The sequence below is a fragment of the Homo sapiens genome, chromosome 8, assembly GCF_000001405.40.
Source record: "Homo sapiens chromosome 8, GRCh38.p14 Primary Assembly".
NCBI classification, from domain to species: domain Eukaryota; kingdom Metazoa; phylum Chordata; class Mammalia; order Primates; family Hominidae; genus Homo; species Homo sapiens.
The window spans coordinates 129270896-129294685 of NC_000008.11; the positions used below are offsets into that span (position 1 = coordinate 129270896).

At 37.5% G+C, this 23790-nt stretch overlaps 1 pseudogene; it reads left to right on the forward strand.

The window, feature by feature from the left end:
* RN7SKP206 (RN7SK pseudogene 206) lies at positions 20088 to 20380 on the forward strand (annotated as a pseudogene).

A 23790-nucleotide genomic window follows, 5' to 3' on the forward strand; every position in this document is an offset into this window, starting at 1 on the left:
TCATAGCAATGTTCTTAATTCTATCACAGTAGTGTGTATTTTACTACCTCATATTATACATAGCTATTCATGTTTTTAAATCCGCTAGACTGTGACTAATACAGACCTTGGTAAAATAATGTGCATTTTAGTAAATAGCATTTCCACTTCTTATTCTGAGCCTTTAGGGGAAAAAAAAGTCAGACTTCGGTGTGGCCTGGCTGTGGTCAAGTGAACTAGGTACCTGGTAGGTGATCCATAAACAGCTGTTACAGGAGTGATTTAATCAACCAACAAATATTTAATGGTTGATTTGTATACTACTCTAGTATCTCAATCTATATTCCCAGTGCTACTCAACCGAGGAAAAATTTGTCCCCTTCCCCCAGGAGAGATTTAGATATTTTTGGTTTCCACAATTGTGGGGGAGCGGATGGGAGTACTGAGTGTATATAGGCACCTAGTGGGTAGAGATCAGGGATGCACAGGATAGCCCCTACAGCAAGGACTTATCCGGCCCAAAATGTCAATAGTGCCAAAGCTGAAAAACCCTGCTATGTATCCATTGTGACTAAAGTGTTACCTAATGGCTTGCATAGTCCAGAAGAAAGACTACAATTGGTTTAATTAGGAGATACATCTCCTTTAAGGGGAAGAAGTATGCAATTACACAGCTCTTTTTCTTTAAACCTTGAAGTGAACGAGCCAATCAGCCTTGTTCATCTGTGGAGATTCAACAATGAGTGTTCTGATCCAATCCAGAGGTTACCTTCTAATCATTTAGGTCATTGAACAATTGCTTATTGTATGCCTAACAGTTGCCTATCACTGTACTAAACTAAAAGACAAGGCAAAATAGAAACAATTTCCATGGAATTACTGCTTTCCCCTTTTCAAAACACTTTTATTTTGTGATCTCACAACTCCACTTTAAGGAGGACATGTATTATTGGCCCAATCTGACAGGTGAAGAAACTAAGACACAGAGCTATAAATAAATAGAGCCCCTATCTGCCAAAGATTAGAATTCTCTCACTAATATAAATGTGAAACCATTGCTTGTATAAAATTGGCAACAAGCAACACAATGAAACCTATTAAAATGGCATGACCACTTTGTAGTTGCCTATTTGGAGTCAAAAAAGTGGTAAAGGAAAGCAACGCTAACTCTTCCTCAGGCACCTCTTTGGTAAAACCACCCATTGCAATCAGGATTAAGAAGCTCAGCTGAACTAACTAGTCCTACAAGATTCTCCCTATCTGGGTGGATCTGATGGTCCCATTAAGATCAGCACACCTCAGCATAATTGAACTAGTTTCTGTGAGCTATCTTGTAAGACTTTATCATTTAAAATAAGTACAAGCATATATAAAAATAATAAATGCACATTTTAGTAAATAACAGGCCTTATTTTTCTGAATTTATTGATGAAGAAACTAAGGCTCTTAGCAGTTAGATGACTTGCCCAAGGCCACATGTTTGCATGGTGGTGATTACACCACATGGCCTTTTGAAACTGACGCTTTTGTTCCTGAACTCTCTCCTCTTTTTAAATCATCATTACCACTTCTCTACCCACCACCTTAATTTTCTTTAGCCAAAAAAAAAAAAAAAAAAAAAAAAAAAAAAAAGCTGGTAGAGGGAAGCACAAACTCAGAAAAGTATGATACCTCCAGGGATTTTTTATGACTCACTAAAATAACTAAATGCATCCTCTGGGAAACAGAGTCAGAGTAAAGAATGTGGGAAGATATTCTCCTTCCTCTGAACTGACTGGATGTGACATTCTCTGATTGACATTCTTCGATTCCCACGGGGAGAACAGAACTCTGTGTTCCCTAAGTATGGAGCCCTGAGATGAGAGGCATCTTTATCTTTTCCGAGAAAAAATGGGATCACTATGACCAAAAAAATAGCCTTTCCTCTACCAAGTGGCACAGTTGAGACAAGGAAATGTTCCCTGCAAAGCAAGCCAACACCCACAGATTCCAAGCCTGGCTGTGGTCAAGTGGACCAGGCACACTGAATTCTGGTCATTGCATCTGCTAGGATAGATGGTCCTTGATTTAATTTCAAACCATGTTTATGAGCCTTAACAATAATTTGATATGTGAGACACATATAATTACACAGTAAATTTTATGTTTTTAATTGAGTTACTCCTAATATGTATTCCCTAATGGGGTTTTGAGAATACAGAGTACTAACAAGTTGAATCATGGCTATTCTTCTCAGGATCATCTCTGACACAGGAGCATTATTACACTCCTATAGCTTGGGGGATAGTGTGTGATCAGTAACGGCGTTATGTTTACGGAGCAAGGGAATTTTTCATTTTCTATAATAATATCAACAACAATTGAGAGCCTTTCATGAAACTATACTAGTACTAGAGAGAGGAGAAGAATCAGACACAATTTCACTCCCATAAGATAACTGACTATTTGATTCTATTAAAGTAATCGTTGTTATTACTTATCATGTATGGGGTTCTGTGCTACGCACAAAAGGTATAAAGAGGAATTTGAGAAGCAATTTCTATGCTCAAAGAGAGACAAATCTACTCCTAAATAACTTCATACCATGGTGATAACACCATAGTAATTGCTTGCATAAAGTGCTATGCTAGCACAAATGTAGGAGTGACCAATTCTACAAAAGTTATTAAACAAAGGTTGTGAAACAAATGTAACAAATGTTTGAGGCTGCTGGGACTGCCAGTAAGACCAATCAGTCTTAGTCCTACAAGACGGTCTTCCAAACCCTAACTCAATGACCAGTGGTTGATTCAGTGACCACACAGACACACAGACTTATTTAACTACCACCCCATCAAGGCACAAGATTTGTTTCATTGGGAAAGTTTTTTTTTTAGGGCTATTGTATTCAGTTCTCTGCTTTCATTTCATAAACTGAGGTCAGGAAGCCAGTCCAGAATATGAGTAACTCTGAAGTCTTATAAAATTTCACAAGAAGGAAAGATAATTGCATGTGTGTGCAGGGCCAGATTTCAGGGAGGCGATAGTCTTACTAGTCTCAATGGAGACAATGACTGAAACTATTACTACTCAGTCTCTGCTTCTTCCGGAACAGCTGAGCAAAAGCGTTCTGACATTGAGTCTTTTAAGCCTAGATCGGCATTATTTCGTCTAACTGATCAAGAAGTGTATAAAATGATGTGGCCTTATGTAGTAAACCTTTAGTCTCTGGCCTCTTGAGACCAGTTAAACCTTCCCAATATCCCATGATCCATCAATAAATATCACTGCCAGGCCTTAACTTATATTAAGCACTGGGGAATCAATAACAAATGAGCCATAATCCCTGTCTTCCAGCATTGTACACTTCAGGGAAGAGAAAAATACCTAAACTGGCAATTAAAAGTCTGATTCCAGGGTGCTTCATGAACTGAGGAAGGGTTCAGATTGCAGGCCCTGGAGAGCTGAGAGGTGGAAGGAAGACTTCCTAGATGAAGTAGTATCTAAGCTAAGTCCTGAAATACACGAAGGAGAATCTAAGTGAAAAAGGATTAGAGAAGGGTGCATTTCAGGCAAAGGAAGCAATAAAAACAAAGGCCCAAGAAGCAGAAAAAGGCAGGGTGCTGTCAGGACCCTAAAAAAGTTCTGAATAGATGGAACATAGCAGGGAAGACATGAATGATTGCGAGTGGAAAGAGATACTGCTAGAATTGTATGCTAGTCAGTTTCTGTAAGTTCAGATTTATTTCAAAGGCAGCAAAACTTTGAAGGTTTTTAATAGGGTAGTATACGAGTGTGGTGTGTGTGTGTATGTGTGTAAAGAGTACCCCAAAGGCTGGGGAAAAGTGGATTAGTGGGGATCAAGACTAAAGTTAGTAGACAAACTGGGAGGCTGTTTTGTGTCCCAGAAAGGAAACAATGGAACACTGAAATAAGAATGGCAGTGTATTAGAGACACATTAGTGTAATAAAGAATCTTCAAGGACTTGAAAAGGAGAATTGGCAGTTGATTGGATGTTGAAACTGAAGGAAAGGGAAGGCTCAAGGATGTTTAAGTTTGGATTTAGAAATTGGATAGATAATGGTCCTATTTACTGAGAGCAGTAATACTTCATTTTTAAATTTTTTTTTTTTTTTTTGCTTTTTTCCACTCAGAAGCAGGTTGTTACTTGAGTAATTTAGCAAATAACTAATCATCTAAATTAAATGATTGTTCTACAAAAGTGATTTATTAAATACTGGTTTTCTCTCTATTACTAATTATATTTATTATATATGAGGCTGCTCACGAGAGTGTAGTTTGATCTAAATTTTAAATTGTACACTTATGCTGTTTGGCAAAGATAAAAACATGCAGGAGAATCTATGAGTACTGAATAAACAACTGTTAATTGACATATGCAAGACTATTGGCAAGTCCTTCCACACACACATACTTAACCCACAGTATTGCAAGGTGCTGTGAAAAAATGAATTAAGTAGAAGAGCTTTGGCTGCCTATGCTTTTTGGGCCCTAAGAAATTATTGCCGAGACCAATGTCATAGAGATTTTCCCCCTTTCTAGTAGTTTTACAATTTTAGGTCTTACATTTAAGTCTTTAATTCATTTGAGTTGATTTCTGTATATGATGTTGAGATAAAGATAAAAATCTTTCGTCTTCAGATATCCAATTTTCCCATAGCAATTTATGGAGGATACTTTCCTTTCCCCATTGTGTGTTTTTGGTGCCTTTGTTAACAATCAGTTGATCATAAATATGTGAATTTACTTCTGGGCTTTCTATTGGTCTATGTGTCTGTTTTTAATGCCAATATCATGCTGTTTTGATTACTACAGCTTTGTAGTATATTTTTAATGTTTGTTTCCATATTTTCAGTACCCATCTCAAATAAGTGTCCATCTGGGGTTCCTAGAACAACAGTTCTGGAACCAAGTTATCTTTTCACCTGATGTTATGTTACCTAACTCTGGTTTCTTTGTTATATATATACAGGAAAGAAGCTAGACACAGTCACACAGTATATGATTTCATTTATATGAAATATCTAGAATAGGTAAATCCACACAAACAGAAAGCAGATTAGTGATTGCCAGCGGGTATGGGAAAGGGGGAAAGGGAATAACTGCTTAACTGTTTTGAAGTTTTCTTTTGGAGTAACAAAAATATTTTCAAGCTAGAGAGACATGGTGCTTGTACAACATTATGAATGTACTAAATGTCACATAACTGTTCACTTTAAAATGGTTAATTTTATGTTCGGTGAATGCTACCTCAATATACCTTTCTAAAAATATGCACAGGGGAAAAATAATCATGCCAAGGACAAAAGCTCCCACTTCCCAGTTCTCATCTAAACCTGAGGTATGTTTGATTTCTGGTCTTCCTCCACACTTTCAGATCATCATTTCTTTACACAAACATAATGTTAAGCCTGACAAATCAATGTGACAATTAGAGAAATAGTTGAAAGTTTCAACTATGTATAAAGTTATGTAAATAACTTTAAAATTATAAAGTAAATAGTAGGTTCCTTTTTAACCTTTATTCTTCATGCTATAAAATCTCTTTGACAAGTTAGTGATTTCATGTGGGGAGGGGCATCTATGAATATGTCGATGTTCCTGACTGTCTGGAAGTTTCGTTTTCTTTCTCTTAAAGTCATGTTTTCCATTGTCTTGCAGATCTTTTAGCCAAAGCTAGGGCATTTGTTGTGGGGATCACCTTATGGCCTCCCCTCCCATAGTAAGCTGTCCCAGTGGCTCTCCAAGGACATGCTGCATTTACTGCGTATCCATTTCAAAGATTGACTAATTGCTCCACAGGCTGCAAAAAGTGCACTCTCAAATCATAAAAGGGAAACATTCTGGCTTTTCCCAGGCCACAAAGCATGACCAAGTTGATTAGGACTCATAATTCACACTGCCGATACCTGAGCTTGATCCTCCGAGAAACAGCTGCCTTATAAAAGCAGAGATAGAGAACATATATCACACTGTTCAGGCAGCCATAGTCACAGCTTTGCATCCACAATAAATGGCTTCTGCCCTCTCTGGCCAGGGCTGCACTGGAAATGAAACAATAAGAGTGGGAAATAGCCTTTATTTATTGAGTTCACTAACCTAATCATCAAATCAAAGCCCAGCCTACACAGTTCACAGAATCCAAAGAACGAACGATGAAAAACACTTTGGTGGACAAGTGATCTGTTCCCAGGAGCTGGCACTGAACATCCTCCCCACAGGATGTTTGTCAGTGTCCAGATCTCCAATATTTGGAGTGAGGAAGCAATCAGTGCTCTGCCGTGACACACACCATTTAGGGATGATGGGCCTCGCCAAAGCCTGTTTGAGTTCTTATGGCTCAAAAAGGAGCCACTGCTTGCAATTAGAAGGTAATAAAAAGAGGCATCATGATAAACATTACAAAAAGCAACCTTTTGTGGTCATATGTGTCAAGCTGGGAGATACAGACTGAAAGAAACTGTTTCATAGCTTAGGGGATAGTCATGTTCTGTGGGAAAATCAGGTGAGTGAATGCTCTTCTGGAGAAGATACAGCCCATCTTGGAATTTATATGTTGTGATAAGTCTGTCTCTTGCTGACAAGGAGCTCTAAAGTGACGCTATGTATCAGTAGGTTTGACAAACAAGCTTTGGAATTGCCCAGATGTTGCTTTGAATCATAGCACTATACTTCATTCATTCATTCAATCATCCAACATGTATTTCCAAGTGGCTATTGTGTGCTTAAGGATCAAGCAGTGGATGAGCTAGGACCCTCCTCTCAAGCTTGTCACCCAGGGTGTATTGAACAAGAAAGCTGACATCATAATACAGCTGAGAAGTGCTTTGATGAGACTTGGCACAAGGTGGGACTATAAAGGAGAAGGAATTGACACAGGAGGGCAGGCCAGGAAATTAGTACATGGATATGTAAGATGGGAAACAAAGTGTGTATGAAAAGACCCAGAATATAACAAGTATCAGGGGTTCAGAGAAAAACAAAATGGGCCTGGACTCGGTAGCAACATGAGAAAGAGTTCTTATAGGCAGAAGGCAAAGAGACTTAAGAATTGTATGCAGAGAAGTGACATAGGAACATAAACTTTAGGAAAATGTTACTAATTGTATAACTTTTAATAAACCACTTAATCCCACTAAGCCTCAGTTTTCAATATGGATAAAACTACCTACATTTCTTTGCAAATTAAATGAGATAATGTATATAAATTGCTCACTGCCTGAATCCTAGAAACTAGTTACTCAACAATAACCATAACAAAATATGTGAATTGAAATTTGAAATAACTTTTGAACTTTGTTTTCTGTACAACTTCTACTGTTTTATAAAAAATTTTTTTGTAAATTCAGGTACAAAGTGGTTAATTTAATATTTCAGCTTTTCGAGAGTTGGAGAGATTCATTTCTTCGATCAATTATTCAATATGTTTAGTAAGCATCTTTTCTGTGCCACTCACTGAACTTGCCATTGGAGATGTAATGATGAAAATGTTGATTCCATGACGTTTCCATTAGAAGAAGAAGCAGTTGCTTAAATTAAGTATCAAGCAAATTGAGTGGGGCAGTGTGGTTTGGGGTTTATTGCAGAGGCTACTGGTTGCTGTCAAGTATCTATTCTCTTTTCTTTATGAACAGAATTCTCATTTTTGGTGTTGACACTGTTCTGTTTCATGACCTGGGTGTTGTTTACACAGATGGACTCCCTTTGAGAAAATTTGTCAATATATACACTTACCTGGGCATATTTATCTGGCTAAAAAGATTACATTTGTAAGACTCCCTTGCAGCTAGGAAGGTAATATTACTGAGTTCTAGCCAATAAAGAATAAACACAGGCCGGGCGTGGTGACTCACACCTGTAATCCCAGCACTTTGGGAGGCTGAGGCAGGCAGATCACAAGGTCAGGAGTTCGAGACCAGCCTGACCAACATGGTGAAACCCCATCTTTAAAATACAAAAATTAGCCGGGCATGGTGGCGCACATCTATAATCCCAGCTACTCAGGAGGCTGAGGCAGGAGAATCACTTGAACCCCGGAGGCAGAGGTTTCAGTGAGCCAAGATAGCACCATTGCACTCCAGCCTGGATGACAGAGTGAGACTGTCTCGAAAAAAAATAAAAAAATAAAGATAAACACAGATGCTGAGTGGTATTGCCAGTAAGTCTTTTTAAAGGAATATGGAAGTGATCTTGCCCAATTGCCTCCTCGATCCTGAGACCAGGAAACACATATGATGTATATGTAGACTATCTTGAATTATGAGGGCAAAAATAATATCCTAAGGATATTTGAGAGGTTAGCTAGAAAAAGCCTTGGCCCTGCCTGACAACTTTTCACAAATCCTATGCCTCCAGATTTAGTTTACATGAGGAAGAGTGGGAAAACGTGATCTTTTTTTTTTTTTTTTTTGAGACGGAGTCTCACTCTGTCGCCCAGGCTGGAGTGCAGTGGCATGATCTCGGCTCACTGCAACCTTCGTTCGTCTCCTGGGTTCAAACAATTCTCCTACCTCAGCCTCCCACATAGATGGGATTACAGGTGCCTGCCACCACGCCCAGCTAATTTTTGCATTTTTAGTAGAGATGGGGTTTCACCATGTCGGCCAGGCTGGTCTCTAACTCCTGACCTCAGGTGATCCGCCAGCCTGGGCCTCCCAAAGTGCTGGGATTACAGGCGTGAGCCGCCGCACCTGGCCAAAAGTGATCTTTTTAAAAGCAGTTACTTTGGGTTTTCCTGTTAATTCAGCTGAAATTAATACTAACACATAAAGGGTTCAAAGTTGAATTCTGTTCAACCCTTGCTTTCACAGCCAAGAAAACCCAGGTGACTTTTTAAAAATTACCTGAAAGAGTGCTAGAAACAGCAGAACACTCAGAGTCTTATATTAAATTCTGGCTTTTTTTTTTTTTTTTTTTTTTTTTTTTGACAGGGTCTCACTCTGTCGCCTAGGCTGGAGTTCACTGGTGGCGATCTCAGCTCACTGCAACCTCCGCCTCCCAGGTTCAAGCAGTTCTCATGCCTCAGCCACCTGAGTAGCCAGGATTACAGGTGCGTGCCACCATGCCTGGCTAATATTTTGTGTTTTTAGTAGAGACGGGGTTTTGGCACGTTGGCCAAGCTAGTCTCGAACTTCTGACTTAAAGTGATCCATCCGCCTTGGTCTCCCAAAGTGCTGAGATTACAGGCATGAGCCATGGCACCCGGCATGCCTGGCTTTTTTATTGTTTAATTGCAACTCCACATTCTCAAACATAATATGGAGATGAAAAGTCTGTGTTTTCTCCATTATTAGATCTCTTTCCTGGCAGTAGCCCAATCTGAATCTAGTTAACTTAAAAAAAAAAAAAGGAATTTATTGGAGTGCTGACAAAGATCTCACAAAATAAATTGATAGGCTAGTATCCAAGCTTAGAAACAAAGCAAAAATCAGAGTCAAAAATCAAAATAGGATCCAGGCAACAAGAGCCAGTCTATCGTCTCATTAGAGTGCCATACCTAAAATGAAGGTCTCCATTTTTCTCTGCTGTGAGTCACTTGATTCCACACACAAAGTTCTGGGAGAAAGAGTGTGATTGACTCAGCATAGATCAAAACCCCCTGGGCTTCTTTGAAGCAGTGAGAGAAAGAGTCTGGAGGGAGGAGAGTGTACTAGCCTTCAGGGACCTCTAGTTCTCTATTAGAAGGGCAGTGGACATTGATTTATAGTCCCACCGAGAATGTACAAAACAGGGGCTAGTTAGGTCCCTCAAATTAATGGATGCTAGATGGTCATAAATTAACAAATATCCACTCTTTCTACTTCACAAGGCTGTTGAGAATGGAGTAAATTAGACAAAAAACTCTGAAAACTGAAACCCACTATGCAAATATTCATTGCTGTCATTATTACTATTCTTGTTATTAATATCAGAATTTATGAAAAATAAAATATTTTTTAAATTATGGTCATTTTACATTTTGAGGAATCCCCCCCTTTATTAAAGAAATCATTTTATTAAGTATTAAGCACTAAAGTAGTGGCCTGTCTCTCAAATTAATAGTAGACAATGGGTATAAATAATGTTGACAACCAGTAAGTAAAAAACAATTCTCATTTTTACACCAGTTTGGAAGGTCATATTTCATATTATGTGGGCTTTAAAGAGGATCATAGAGAATTAGCCAGTGTAAATTTCTAGACAGAAATCATCACTTAGAAAGGAATTCTTAGCAGAGAGCTTTGAGTGAATGAATAGCTTCAGAGAGAATTACAAAATCCTGAAATTTCACATAACTATTTGGTTTGCTGCATCTAAGAGTATATATATATATTCTCACACACACACACACACACACACACACACACACACACACACACACAGTCAATACCTTTATCAGTTTCAGTTGTTGAAAGATGCATGACCCTAAAAACACCAAGAATCATTAATTTTTAATGCAAAGGGAATTCCTGCAATATCAAATCAAAAATATTTGGATTCAAATTCTGGATATCCACCATAAGTTCAAAACTGTGCTAATCAATGTAAACCATTCTACACCAATGTAAACTCATAAACCATTCTTTATTCTTCAGGAGCTTAGACTCTCACATGAAAGATAAGAATAGGTATGTCAATTAAAATACCTTGGGTTACAAATAGCCCAAATATCCAAACTGAAGTTAGCTTAAACAATATGGAAATGGTTTGTGAAGTTCCTGGGAATAGACATTGAGAGGTGAGGTGGATTTCAGAGTTGGCTGAATGCAATGGCCCTCCTTGAATTACTCTGTGGTGCTCTTGGCTCGGCCTTCCTCTCTGTTTTGGCTTCTTCTTTAGGCTAACATCTCTTGTGGTTACAAAATGGCTACAGATGTCCCAAATTGAGTGGACAAAAATAATATCCATACAACTGCATATCATTCATTGTTCAGCTTTTCCCCACTCAGAGAACCCTGTACAATTAAGTAATCAATACATATCTCTTAATAAAGAAGTGGTTGGATAAATGTATGAAGAGTTAAATAATCATCCATGGCAGGTGTGAGGAAATGAGCATTTTAGAAAAAATACGTAATAGATCAAAGAAAGAAATTATAAGTTGAGGGGACACAGAAAACTTCTAAAGAATCACATGCTTTGAATAGATAAAGGGTAGCAGACATAGCATTCCAGGCATATACAGTTGGCAGCTGGTTTAAAGTAAATAAATTCATAAATGAAAAAAAGAAGATATGCAATTTCAGGGAAACTTTCCATCCATTCCAAGTGGTTTCATATTTTGAGTTGCAACATTAAGAAGTTACTAGGACATTGGAAGTTTCCATGGAAACTTGTATCCTGCAGAATCTCAAATTACCTCATGCAATAATGATCATGACCAACTAGGGTAGTAAGATTAATACATATGATGAAATTGAAGCTTAAAATTTTTCACACAATGAAACCTCATTATATTTTTTATTCTCCACTATTTTTATAGTTCTTTTAAATATTCTTTGAGTGCTTTCCATATGTTGAGCTCTGAGTTAGGTACTTTCAAGTGATTTTTTTTTTTAAACTCACAATAAGGTTATTATCATTATTTTTTACTTTTTACAATTTAACTAACAAATAACCAACTAATAAGTATCAGAGCTGGAATTATACGAATGAATATATATGAGTTAATTTTAACTATTTATATTCTATGTAAAAGACTAAACTACTTTTAACTACACTAAAAGTAACACTTTAAACAGGAGCAAATGTTATAATGATTAAAAATAACTTTAGGCTAGTTACGCGGGAAAATCTACTAGCTATTCCCAGTACCCTTCCTCTAGGCAATTTTTGGATAACAGAAAAACACTTAAAGAATATATGGGCATACCTTGTTTTATTGTGCTTCGCTTTATTGTGCTTCACAGATGTCACGTTTTACAAATTGAAAGACTGTGGCAACCCTGTGCCAAGCAAGTCTATGGGCACCATTTTCCAACAGCATGTGTTTGCATTGTGTCTCTGTGTCACATTGTGGTAATTCTCACAATATTTCAAACTTGTATTATTATTATATCTGTTATGGTGTATTAGTTTATTATCCATTGCTATGAAGAAATACCTAAGACTGAGTAATTTATAAAGAAAAGGGGTTTAATTGGCTCACAATTTTGCAGGCTTTACAGAAAGTACGATGCTGGCATCTGCTGGGCTTCTGGGGAAAGCTCAGGAAACTTACAATCATGGCAGAGGTGAAGGAAGCATGTCTTACATGGCCAGAGCGGGGGAAGGGGGTGGTACCACACACTTTTAAACAATCAGATCTCTCAGTAACTCCCTCACTCAGTATTGCCATGACAACACCAAAGGGAATGGTGTTAAACCATGAGAAACTGCCCCACAATTGAATCACTTCCCAAAAGGCCCCACCTCCAACACTGGGGATTACAATTCGATGTGAGATTTAGGAGGGACACAGATCCAAACCATATCATATGGTGATCTATGATCAGTTATCTTTGATATTACCCTTAGAATTGTTTGGAGCACCACAAATCACTTCCATATAAGACAGTGAACTTATTGATAAGTGCTGTTTGTGTTCTGACTGCTCCACCATCTCTCTCCCTCTCCTTGGGCCTCCCTATTCCCTGAGACACAAAATATTGAAATTAGACCAATTAATAACCCTACAACGAACTCTAAGTGTTCAGGAAAAAGGAAGAGTCATGCATCTGTCACTGTAAATAAAAAACTAGAAATGATTAAGGTTAGCGAGGAAAGCTGATATAAGTCAAAAGCTAGGGCTTTTGTGTCAAACAGTCAAACTGTGAATGCATAGAAAAAGTTTTTGAAGAAAATCAAAAGTGCTACTCCAGTGAGCACATGATTGATAAAAAAGCAAAACAGCCTTATTGCTAATATGGAGAAAGTTTTAGTAGTCTGGATGGAAGATCAAACCAGCCACAACATACCCTTAAGCCAAAGCCTTATCCAGAGCAAGGGCCAAACTCTCTTCAGTTCTACAAAGAATGAGAAAGGTGAGGAAGCTGCAGAAGAAAAGTTTGAAGCTAGCAGAGTTTGGCTGATGAGGTTTAAGGAAAGAAGCTGTCTCCATAGCATAAAAATGCAAATTGAAGCCACAAGGGCTGATGAAGAAGGTACAGCAAGTGATCCAGAAGATCCAGCTAAGCTAATTGATAAAAGTGGCTACATTAACAGATTTACAATGTAGACAAAACAGCCTTCTATCAAAAGAAGATGCCATCTAGGAAGTTCATAGGTAGAGAGAAAAAATAGCGCCTGGCTTCAAAACTTCAAAGGACGGGCTGACTCTCTCATTAGCAAATAATGCAGCTGGTGACTTTAAGTTGAGGCCAATGCTCATTTACCATCCTGAAAATCCTGGCGTCCTTAAGAATTATGCTAAATTTACTCCACCTGAACTGTATAAATGGACCAATGAAGCCTAGATGACTCCACATCTGTTTCAGCATGGTTTACTGGATTTTTTAAGCCCACTGTTCAGACCTACTGTTAATTTTAAAAGATTCCTTCCAAAATATTACTTTGTAATGACAATGCATCTGGTCATCCAAGAACACTGATGTAGATGTACAAGGAGATTTCATGCCTACTAACACAATGTCCATTCTGCAGCCCATGTATCAAGGAATAATTTTGACTTTCAAATCTTATTATTGAAGAAATTCACTTCAAAAGGCTATAGCTGCCATAAATATTGATTCCTCTTATGGATCTGGGCAAAGTAAATTGAAAATCTTCTGGAAAGGATTCAGTATTCGAGATGTCATCACTTACATTGGTGATTCACGGGAAAAGGTCAAAATATCAACATTAATAGGAGTTTTGAAGAAGTAGACTCCAGCCCTCATGGATGAATTTAAGGGGTTCAAGACTTCATTGGAGAAAGTCACTGCAGATGTGATGAAAATAGCAAGAGAACTAGAATTAGAATTGGAGTCTGAAGATGTGACTGAATTGCTGCAACTTCATGATAAAAATTTAATGACTGAGGAGTTACTTCTTATGAATAAGCAAAGAAAGTGATTTTTTGAGAGGGAATCTACTCTTGATGAAAACGCTACGAGCGTGTCAAAATGACAACAGAGTTTAGGATATTACCTCAATTTAATTGATAAAGCACCATCAGAGTTTGAGAGGATTGACCAGTTTTGAGAGAAGTTCTACTATATGTAAAATGCTATTGAAAAGCATCACATGCTACAGATAAGTCTTTTGTGAAAAGAAGAATAAATTAATGCAGCAGACATCATTGTTTTGATATTTTAAGAAATTGCCACAGCCACTTCAACCTTCAGGAAGCACCATTCTGTTCAGTCATTAGCTATCAACAGTGAGGCAAGACCCTCCACCAGCAAAAAGATTATGACTTGCTGAAGGCTCAGATGATTGTTAGCATTTTTAGGAACAAAGTATTTTAAAATAAAGGTACCTACATTATTGTTAGACATAATGTTATTGCACACTTAGTAGACTACAGTGTAGTATAAATATAACTTTTGTATGCACTGGGAAATCAAAAAATTTGTGTGACTCACTTTATTACAATATTCACTTTATTGCAGTAGTTTGGAACTGAACCCTCAATATCTCCCAGGTATGCCTGTAATTATTTTCTTGGAGACTATTGACAGTTCACATTTTCCTCTCTTAATAAAAAAAAAAAAAATATGGTATACCAGGAAGGATTTTGGTTATGGTGCAAAGAGAAACACAAGTCCAATCTTAAATTTTGTAAAAATTACATAATTTATTTGAGCCACAGTTTTCATATCTGTAAAATAGAAGTTTTAATCGCCACTATAGAGGATTGTTGTGGCAATAAAAGGAGATGGGATTAAAGTGACTTTTATGCACTCATAAGTGCCTAAGAATTATTACCTCTCCTGTCTTTATTCAACTTGGCTTGTTGCCCGAATATTTCAAATTACAGAGAAGGCAAAGAAAACAAAACAATTAAGAGATGACTTTGTGTCAGGCCCATGATTATTATTTCATCTTAATGAACATCGAGCTTATGAATTTAGAATATTTCAATGTGGCATTCTGGAAATGATGAAATTAACAGTATTGTAGGGGTAGCTTATTTTATAAAACCACTGAATTAAGACATTTGTTGGCCTGTGTGTTGGGCTTCTAACTTTTCCGTTATGTTTGTCATAACTCTTTTTGTTTCAAAAGAGAAAAAAATAACTCAAGCTGACTTAAAACATACAGGAAATTTTATTTGCTTCACATAATTAAAAGTCCAGAAATAAGATTTAGGGCTATTTTTTAATACTTGGATTCTTTTTTATTTTTAAATATTTAATTGACAAGTGAAAATTTTATATATTCGAGGTATACAATGTGATGATTGATACATATGTGCATCATGTCCTGATAATGACAGTCCAATTAATCAACACATCTATCATCATTCATAGTCACCATTTTGTATATGTGTTGATGAGGACACTTAAAATACCCTCTTATCAAATTTCAAGTAAATAGCACAGTATTATTAACTATAGTCACCATGATGTACATTAAATGCTCAGAACTTAACTGAAAATTTGCACCCTTGGACAGCACCCCTTTTCCCCATTTCCGCCCATGGTCACCACCCTTCTACTCTCTGCTTCTATGAATTTCACCTTTTTAGACTCCACATATGTAAATGAGATCATACAGCAGATGTCTTTCTGGGTCTATCTTATTTTAGTTAGCATAATTTCCTCCAGTTCCAGCCATGTTGTCACAAATGAAAGGATTTCCTTCTTTTTATGACTGAATAATATTTCATTGTACACATACGCACACGCACGCACGCATACACGCACACATTTTCTTTATACATTCATAGACGATCAATGGATACTTAGGTCATCTTTATATCTTGGCTATTTTGAATAATCCTGCAAAATATATGGGGCTGCAGACCTCTCTTTGACATACTGATTTCATTTCCTTTGGATATAAACCCATAAGTAGGACTGCTCAATTGTATGGTAATTTTATTTTTAATTTTTAAAGGAATGTTTAAACTGTTTTCTGTAATGGCTCCACCGATTTACATTGCCACCAACAATGTAAAAGCGTTCTCATTTCTCCACACTCACAATTGATTCAGGGTTGGTTTGACGGAAAGACTTAACAATATCACCAAGGACGTGCATGTATGTGCATGTGTGCATGTGTGTGTGTCTATTACTCTACTCTCACCTTTGCTGTGGGTTCAGTTTCATCCAAAGGCAGATAAACCCAAGGATGAATTGCCTATAGCAATTTCAGGGTGTTCATATTCAAACACTATGTCTTCTCTTTTCTTACCTGTCTGAGAATAATAAGCAAGATTCTTACCTCAGTGCCCTTGGTAAATCCTCACCTTTCATCTAACTGGCTTAAATTGAGTCACGTATGCCCAATTGGGACCCAAATCCTGTGCATCATAATTCCAAGAGGTAGCTGCCTTTGGTCTACATTACCTGAACCAATCACTCCATAAAAGTGAAGGGATTACCCTGATTGGCTTTGACCATCAAAAGTTCCCCATGGAGCTTGGATGGGTTTAACTTCCCCAATGATAAATGGGCTAATTAAAAAATACATGGATCTCTTAATTAAGAGATATATGGATTCATAATAAAAAGTCAAAAAACAATACATGTTGTCATGGTTTGGTAAAAAGGGAATGCTTATACACTGCTGCTGGGAATGTAAATTAGTACAACCCCTACTCTACCTCTAGTCAACAGTATGGAGAGTTCTTAAAGAACTAAAAGTAGATCTACCATTTGATCCAGCAATCCCACTACTGGGTATCTACCCAAAGGAAAAGAAGTCATTATATCAAAAACACACCTGTACATGTATGTTTATCACGTCACAATTCACAATTGCAAAGCTATGGGACTGAGGCAGAAGAATAGGATCTGGGGCAGGGAATCTAAGGACTTCCTAGAACTAAATCAAACAGAAAAACCCCAACTTTCCATGACTAAGTAAATAACTCTGTAACTCTACTTCATCTATGACAGGAAATGTCCTCTTCATTTGCATAGGGTATACACCAAGTAAATAACTTTGTAACTTCACTTCAGCCTCTTCATTTACATAAGGCATATACCAAGTAACCAATGGGAAACTTCTATGGGGTATTTAAAACCCAGAAATTTCTGTAACCAAGTTCTTGAGCCACTTGCTCGGCCCACTCCCACCCTGTGGAATGTGCTTTTGTTTTCAATAAAACTCTACCTTTGTGGTTTCATTATTTCCTTGCTTTATTTATGCATTTTGTCTAATTGTTTGTTCAAAACGCCACGAACCTGGACACCCTCCATCGGTAACAGAACCAACTTAAGTGCCCATTGACCAATGAGTGGATAAAGAAAATTTGGCAAACATGCACCATGGAATACTACTCAGCCATAAAAAAGGAATGAAATAATGTCTTTTGCAGCAACTTGGGTGGAGCTGGAGGTCATTATTCTAAATGAAGTAACTCAGGAATGGAAAACCAAATACTGTATGTTCTCACTTATAAGTGGGAGTTAAGCTGTGGGTACACGAAGGCATACAGAGTGATAGAATGAACTATAAAGACTCAGAAGAGGGAGGGTGGGAGGGGCGAGAGGGATAAAACACTACATAATGAATACAATATGTTATGCACCCACTACTCTTGTTGACAGGTGCACTAAAATCTCAGACTTCACTACACAATTCTTACATGTAACCAAAACCCACTTGTACCCCAAAAGCTATTGAAATTAATAAAAAAATTTTTTTAAAAAAGGTGAAACTTAAAAAAAGAGACAGATGGATCCAAATACTATAAAAAGGGGGGAAAGGAAAATGATTCCAGATAGATAAGAAAAAATGTTCACCTCCATAGTCAAAGAGTTGATAAACTAGATAAGACAGAGATGTGGACATGGACATAAATGTGCATTTAGTCATGAACATAGATATAGATATATGAAAAACATTTTATCCAATAACAAAAATGTATGTAAGTTTAAGTATGGTCACTACAGAAAAGCATCAATAAAAATGACCCAGAATATTACCATTCAGACATAATTACTCTTAATATTTTGGTGTATATACTATACTAGTATTTTTCACATATGTAACTTATGTATAACACATGTAATTATTTTTAAAAATTAAAATCACACTATACATTTTATTTCCATTCTGCTTTTTTCACTTATCAACACATTATGAAAATGTTCATATGGCTGGCATTATAAAAACTTGGCATTTATATTCTTATTTTTATTACTCTAAAATATAAGTTTTGATAGCTACATAGTAGTACATACTATGGATGTATTATAATTTGTTTAAGCATTTATTTATCGTCATACAGCCATTCTTTGGTGTCCATGAGGTATTCCAGGACCCTTTGTGGATAGCAAACTCTGCAGATGCTCAAGTTCCTTATATAAAATGGCATGGTATTTGCATATAACCTGTGTATATTCTCCTGCATATTTTAAATCATCCCTAGATTACTTATAATGTATCTAGTACAATGTAAATACTATGTAAATAGTTGTACACTGTTTTTTATTTTTATTATTTTTTATTGTTGTATTGTTATTTTTATTGTTTTTAATAATATTTTTTAACCTTGGTTCATTGAATCTATAGATGCAAAATCCCTGGATACAAAGGGCCAGCAGCACTTTCTAAAATCACTTCCTAATTTTCTCTCTCTTATGCTATTCATCAATAAACACTAAGTTCATTAACCGAATTCTTACCCAAAGTTTGAGACCCTAAAGTCAGACAAACCTAGACTAACATTATGACTTTACCACTTATTAGCCATGTGATCAGAGGAGGTAAGTTGTTTACCTTCTCTGACCTCAGTTTCCTAGGAATAATAATAGTACTGTCCACATAGACCTGTGGTGGTAACTAAATGAAGTAATGCATGTAAAGTATCTGACACATAAAAGGAACTCAGTGGTTACCATCCTCAATCAGAATAGAGAGTTCCTATATGACAAGAAAAAATAGTTCCTTTCCTAAGCTAATCTCATTTCTGGGAGATTGCTAGTGGAACTGACTTTATATACTAAGTATGTCTTTGTTGTCTGAATCTATCTTCATGTCAATGAGCAATAGGTAACCTACTAAGTGACGTATCTGCAAAGTCAAAAACTTTTGACAATATTACTTCTTCAAGATTATCGGCCATTTAAAATATTACAAATCTAATGTGGAAAGATAATGGTGATATTGCTGAATTTTTAAATACAGTTATTGAAAGTGACATTATTTCTAAAACTAGAAATTCACTGACTTCAAGAACTAAAAGGAAGCTCGAGATTGACTAATCTTTTGCCCATCTTTCATATATGGAGGCAACAGAACACATGCCCATGGTAGGAAATAACAGGTGGCTCTGAGTCCTAAAGGTTATTTTTTAGTGTTCTCTACAAAGGATATGAAGGTAAAACGCTAAAAGGATTCAATAGCCAAAAGATCCCAAATAAGTAGAGAAGCATTTGAAATTCTTGTTCATAGCCATTGTGAAGGGTACAATCACATACCTAGGCCAGGGTTTCTTAGTTTCACCACTATTGACTTTTTGGTCTAGATGATCCTTTGTCGTGCTGTACATTGCAGAGTATTTAGCAGCATCCCTGTCCTATACGCTAGATTTATCCCTCCCTCATTTCTGACAGCCAAATTAGCTCTAGGCATACCCAAATATCCTTCGGGGAATAAAATCTACCCCGATGGAAAACTACTGAATTAGGCTGCAAAGAATATACAGTGCTGATTCTCTTCCTCATTTATCTTATATGCACAGATAATATAAAGTAGTGGGAATGTGGCAAGAAATGTTCTCCACCTTTTTCCCCTGTCCAAACTAGAATTACAGAAGGGGGCCATGTAAATCAAGTCAGAGAAAGAATGGAGACATGTGTATTATATTAATTTACTAGAAATTTTCTGACAGAAAGTCAATACTGTCAGTAACATGTCCTCTTGCCCACCTCAGAAAATACTTAGTTCTTTTTATCTCTCCCTTTGTAGGACTCATTATCTATTTCCTTCTCCTATTTAGTATAAGCTCCAGTGAATTAATACTCTAACTCTAGGATGTGAGAGTGATCTGGCTCTGACATCTGTCACTCCATTTATTACCAGCATTGATTTGGCTGATCTGACTGGCCAGGGCGTGTCTGCTTTCTCCCTCACTGCTCCATCTGTGTCCTCCCAGAAGCTGCAAGCTCAGTCAAAGAGGACAACCTTCTCCAATAGAGGAGGACTATGCCTCTGTCAAGGGTATATGAGTAGCTGTGCTCCCCTAATAGAACCTCCAAACAAGCTCTCTAAGTCTAAGGCCAGGGAGGGCAAGGGGAACTAGGAGAGAGATCAAATGGGTACAATGGACCCCACACCCATGACAGTATAAGGTGATGATAGAGAGTTCAAAGAGACGTGGTTTCTCTTCGATAGAGATGGGCAGTATTATGGGTTAAATTGTGGCATGTATAAATGTGTATGTTAAGGTTGTAAGCCCTAGTACCTCAGAATATGGTTTTATTTGATAATGGGGTCACTGTAGATATAATTAGGTGAGATGGGAAAAGGTGGGCCCTAATCCAATATGACTAGTGTCGTTATAAGAAACAGAAGTTTGGACACAAATGCACTCCCAGGGAATAGAACACCATGTAAAGATAGGAGTTTCCTGCCACAAGCCAGGGAACAACCAGAAGCTCAGAGAGAGGCCTCCAGGAGATCCTTTGTTAGCACCTTAAGAGGGAGCATGGCCCTGCCAACACCCATCACAGACTTCCAGTCTCCAAAACTATGAGACAATAAAGTTCTGTTGCCTACACCATTCAGTCTGTGGTGCTCTGTTAGGGAAGACCTCACAAATACAGGCGGTCATGACTAAAGAAAGGTAGTCACACCAGGTGAGGATTTGGTGAGGGAAGCCAAATGAAATAAAGGGGTCCATCACAGGTTCCCACTCTCTCTGACGTGATATGGGTTGAAATATATATATATTTGGGTTGAAATACATAATGAATATTTACTTTTACATCTTCTGGAATCAATGTCTGGCAGAACATAAAATGTGTTTGTTAATGGATGTTTGCTATCTTCCTTTCTACTGAGTGTTGATTTTTAGTAGTCACTATAATTTTACGGATGTAGTGCCATATCTGAATATTCTGAGTTTCTGAATTCTGTGCCTCCTTCTTCAAAGATCAAGAAACTCAAGATTAAGTTTCAAATCTGTCACCTCCAAGAGAGAAGCTCATCAGGTTTAGGAATATAATGAACCAAGAGTTGAAAAGAGATATAATTTTATTTTATTTTTCTAATCGTGGCCCACCCCTCCAATAGTACTTTCACCTCACAAACTGCAAAGTGCTTTCACCTACAAAGATTCACCTGTTTCTACCAACAACTCAAAGAAGTAAAAGAGAAGTCTGTTACCATTGCACAGATGCAGAAAATGGAAGCCTAGAAAAATTGTGACTTTCTCAAGGGGACTGACACAGCTAGTTGAAATGGTCTCGTATCCTTTTCTTTATACCAGAATGTTTTTTTTGTCATGAGAGAAATATTCCAGCACACATAGATAAAAGATTCACTCTGCCCATTCTCTTTAAGAAAAGGACACTTGATTTACTGTTATGTACTCTTAAGGATGGGGGCCAGCTTTGGGGTTTGGTCCAGACTTAAGATCTTGATTCCCAACCATGGCCTTTTGGTTTCTTGACCCTCCTATTAACTTACCAGACTTGAGTCATAATTCTGGATGATCTGGCATAGGATCTTTGACTCAGGAGAGTCTCATAAAAGCTCTTCTGGGAAACTGCACACTAATGCCAGAGTTTCACACAATTGAGGTATCTTTATAGAGTCCCAGATAAATGTTACAAAATGTTACTTCCACACCACCTCCTGCCTGAAGGCCCTAGCATAAAAAGATGCATTTCTCATCGAGATGCAGTAGTTTTCCTATCTCCATTTGTCTTTGCCAAACCAGGTCAGGAAATCAGCCCAGAATGTAAGGTTGTGGTTTGCTTTTTTAGACTCATAAAATGTTAATGCTGCAAGTAATCTAAGAGATAGTCTGTTTTAACATCATCTTGCTAAGAACACTGAGACCCTTAGGTGATAGCAAATTTGGCCAGTGACATAGAGAAGTTAATAACGAGGCTGTTATTCTAATCTAGGGTTCTTAATTCCTAATTCAGTATTCTTTGCAATATGTTATCAGGTATCTATTGACCCAAATATTTCCAAAACATCATTATTGACCTTCTACTCCCATTTCATGGATGAAAGCAGTCACCAATATGAAGTATGATTTGTCAAGCATTGTTGAAAACTTCCAACTGATCCCAGGTCCCACTCTGTTGTCTGAAGTGGTGCCCGCTTATTCAACATAAGTTACTAAATAATCTATTTATACATTCAGCAAACATTTATTTAGAAATGACTGGGTCTTACTTATCTTGGTCACCTCTGATAATATGAAGGTCAGAGTGCAGTAGGAAATGCATGTATCTATAGAATTAAGAAAATACAATTTGTAGAAATAATCACATAAGAAGTGAGATTTGGAGCATAAAGGAAGGAGTGACTCACTGTTACAGGGGTAAATTATGGGGATAGGGAGAAGCCTTTGCAACATAGGTGATATTGGAGTTGAACCTTAAAAGCTAAGAAGGAGTTTGTTAGATGGAGAAGGTAAAAGAATATGCCAGATAGAGGAAACAGAAGAATCAAATTCTAACAGTCTGAGATCACCTAAACAGAGTCATAGAGTCCGTAGAAGAGGGGGAAAAGGGACATGGATAAAAAGCTGGGGTAGGGTGGCCGGGAGCAGTGGCTCACGCCTGTAATCCCAGCACTTTGGGAGGCTGAGGTGGGCGGATCACCAGGTCAGGAGATCGAGACCATCCTGGCTAATACAGTGAAACCCCGTCTCTACTAAACATACAAAAAATTAGCCGGGCGTGGTGGTGGGCACCTGTAGTCCCAGCTACTCGGGAGGCTGAGGCAGGAGAATGGCATGAACCCAGGAGGTGGAGCTTGCAGTGAGCTGAGATGGCGCCACTACACTCCAGCCTGGGAGGACAGAGCGAGACTCCTTCTCCAAAAAAAAAAAAAAAAAAAAAAATTGTTGGGGTAGGCAGTTCAGGAGTTTTGAAATCCATGAAATAAAGCCTAATGAGGTTGAGATTTGCAGTGAAGATGCTAGGGAGCTAATTTAAGCAGAGTAATAACAGGTTAGACATGTGCTTTTAAAGGTCACTGTGATTCTACCGAAGGCTTAGATGTAGCAAGAACAGGGTCAGGAAGACCATTTCAAACATTTTAATACTCTTGGCAATAGATGATGAAAGTCTAAACTAGAAGTGAGCTTAGAAGGAAATGAAAGTTTAGAAGATTTCAGAAGATAGATTCAGTGATACATGGGACACTGATGATGAGGGAGGGAAGAGACCTAGATGTAACTGGTGATTCTAACTTAGGTGGCTGCTACATGGTCATGAAACTACTCTCCTAGAGTATATCTTTGACTCTTCAGAGTCACTGGGTCTTTTTAAAATCGGATAGAAACTCTGGGGACTCTATCCAGAAAAAGGCACATATGCACATATACAAACAATTTTTCATGCAATTTCAGATGTTTCATGAGCTCTCTGAAGCCCATGAATGAATGAGACTGCAGATTACAAAGCTCTGTTTTACTGGAAGAATTTAAAGGCAAAAACACTGGGAAACCTAGATTGTCAGTTGCTAATGTCATAGAATGAATCCATTTCCTT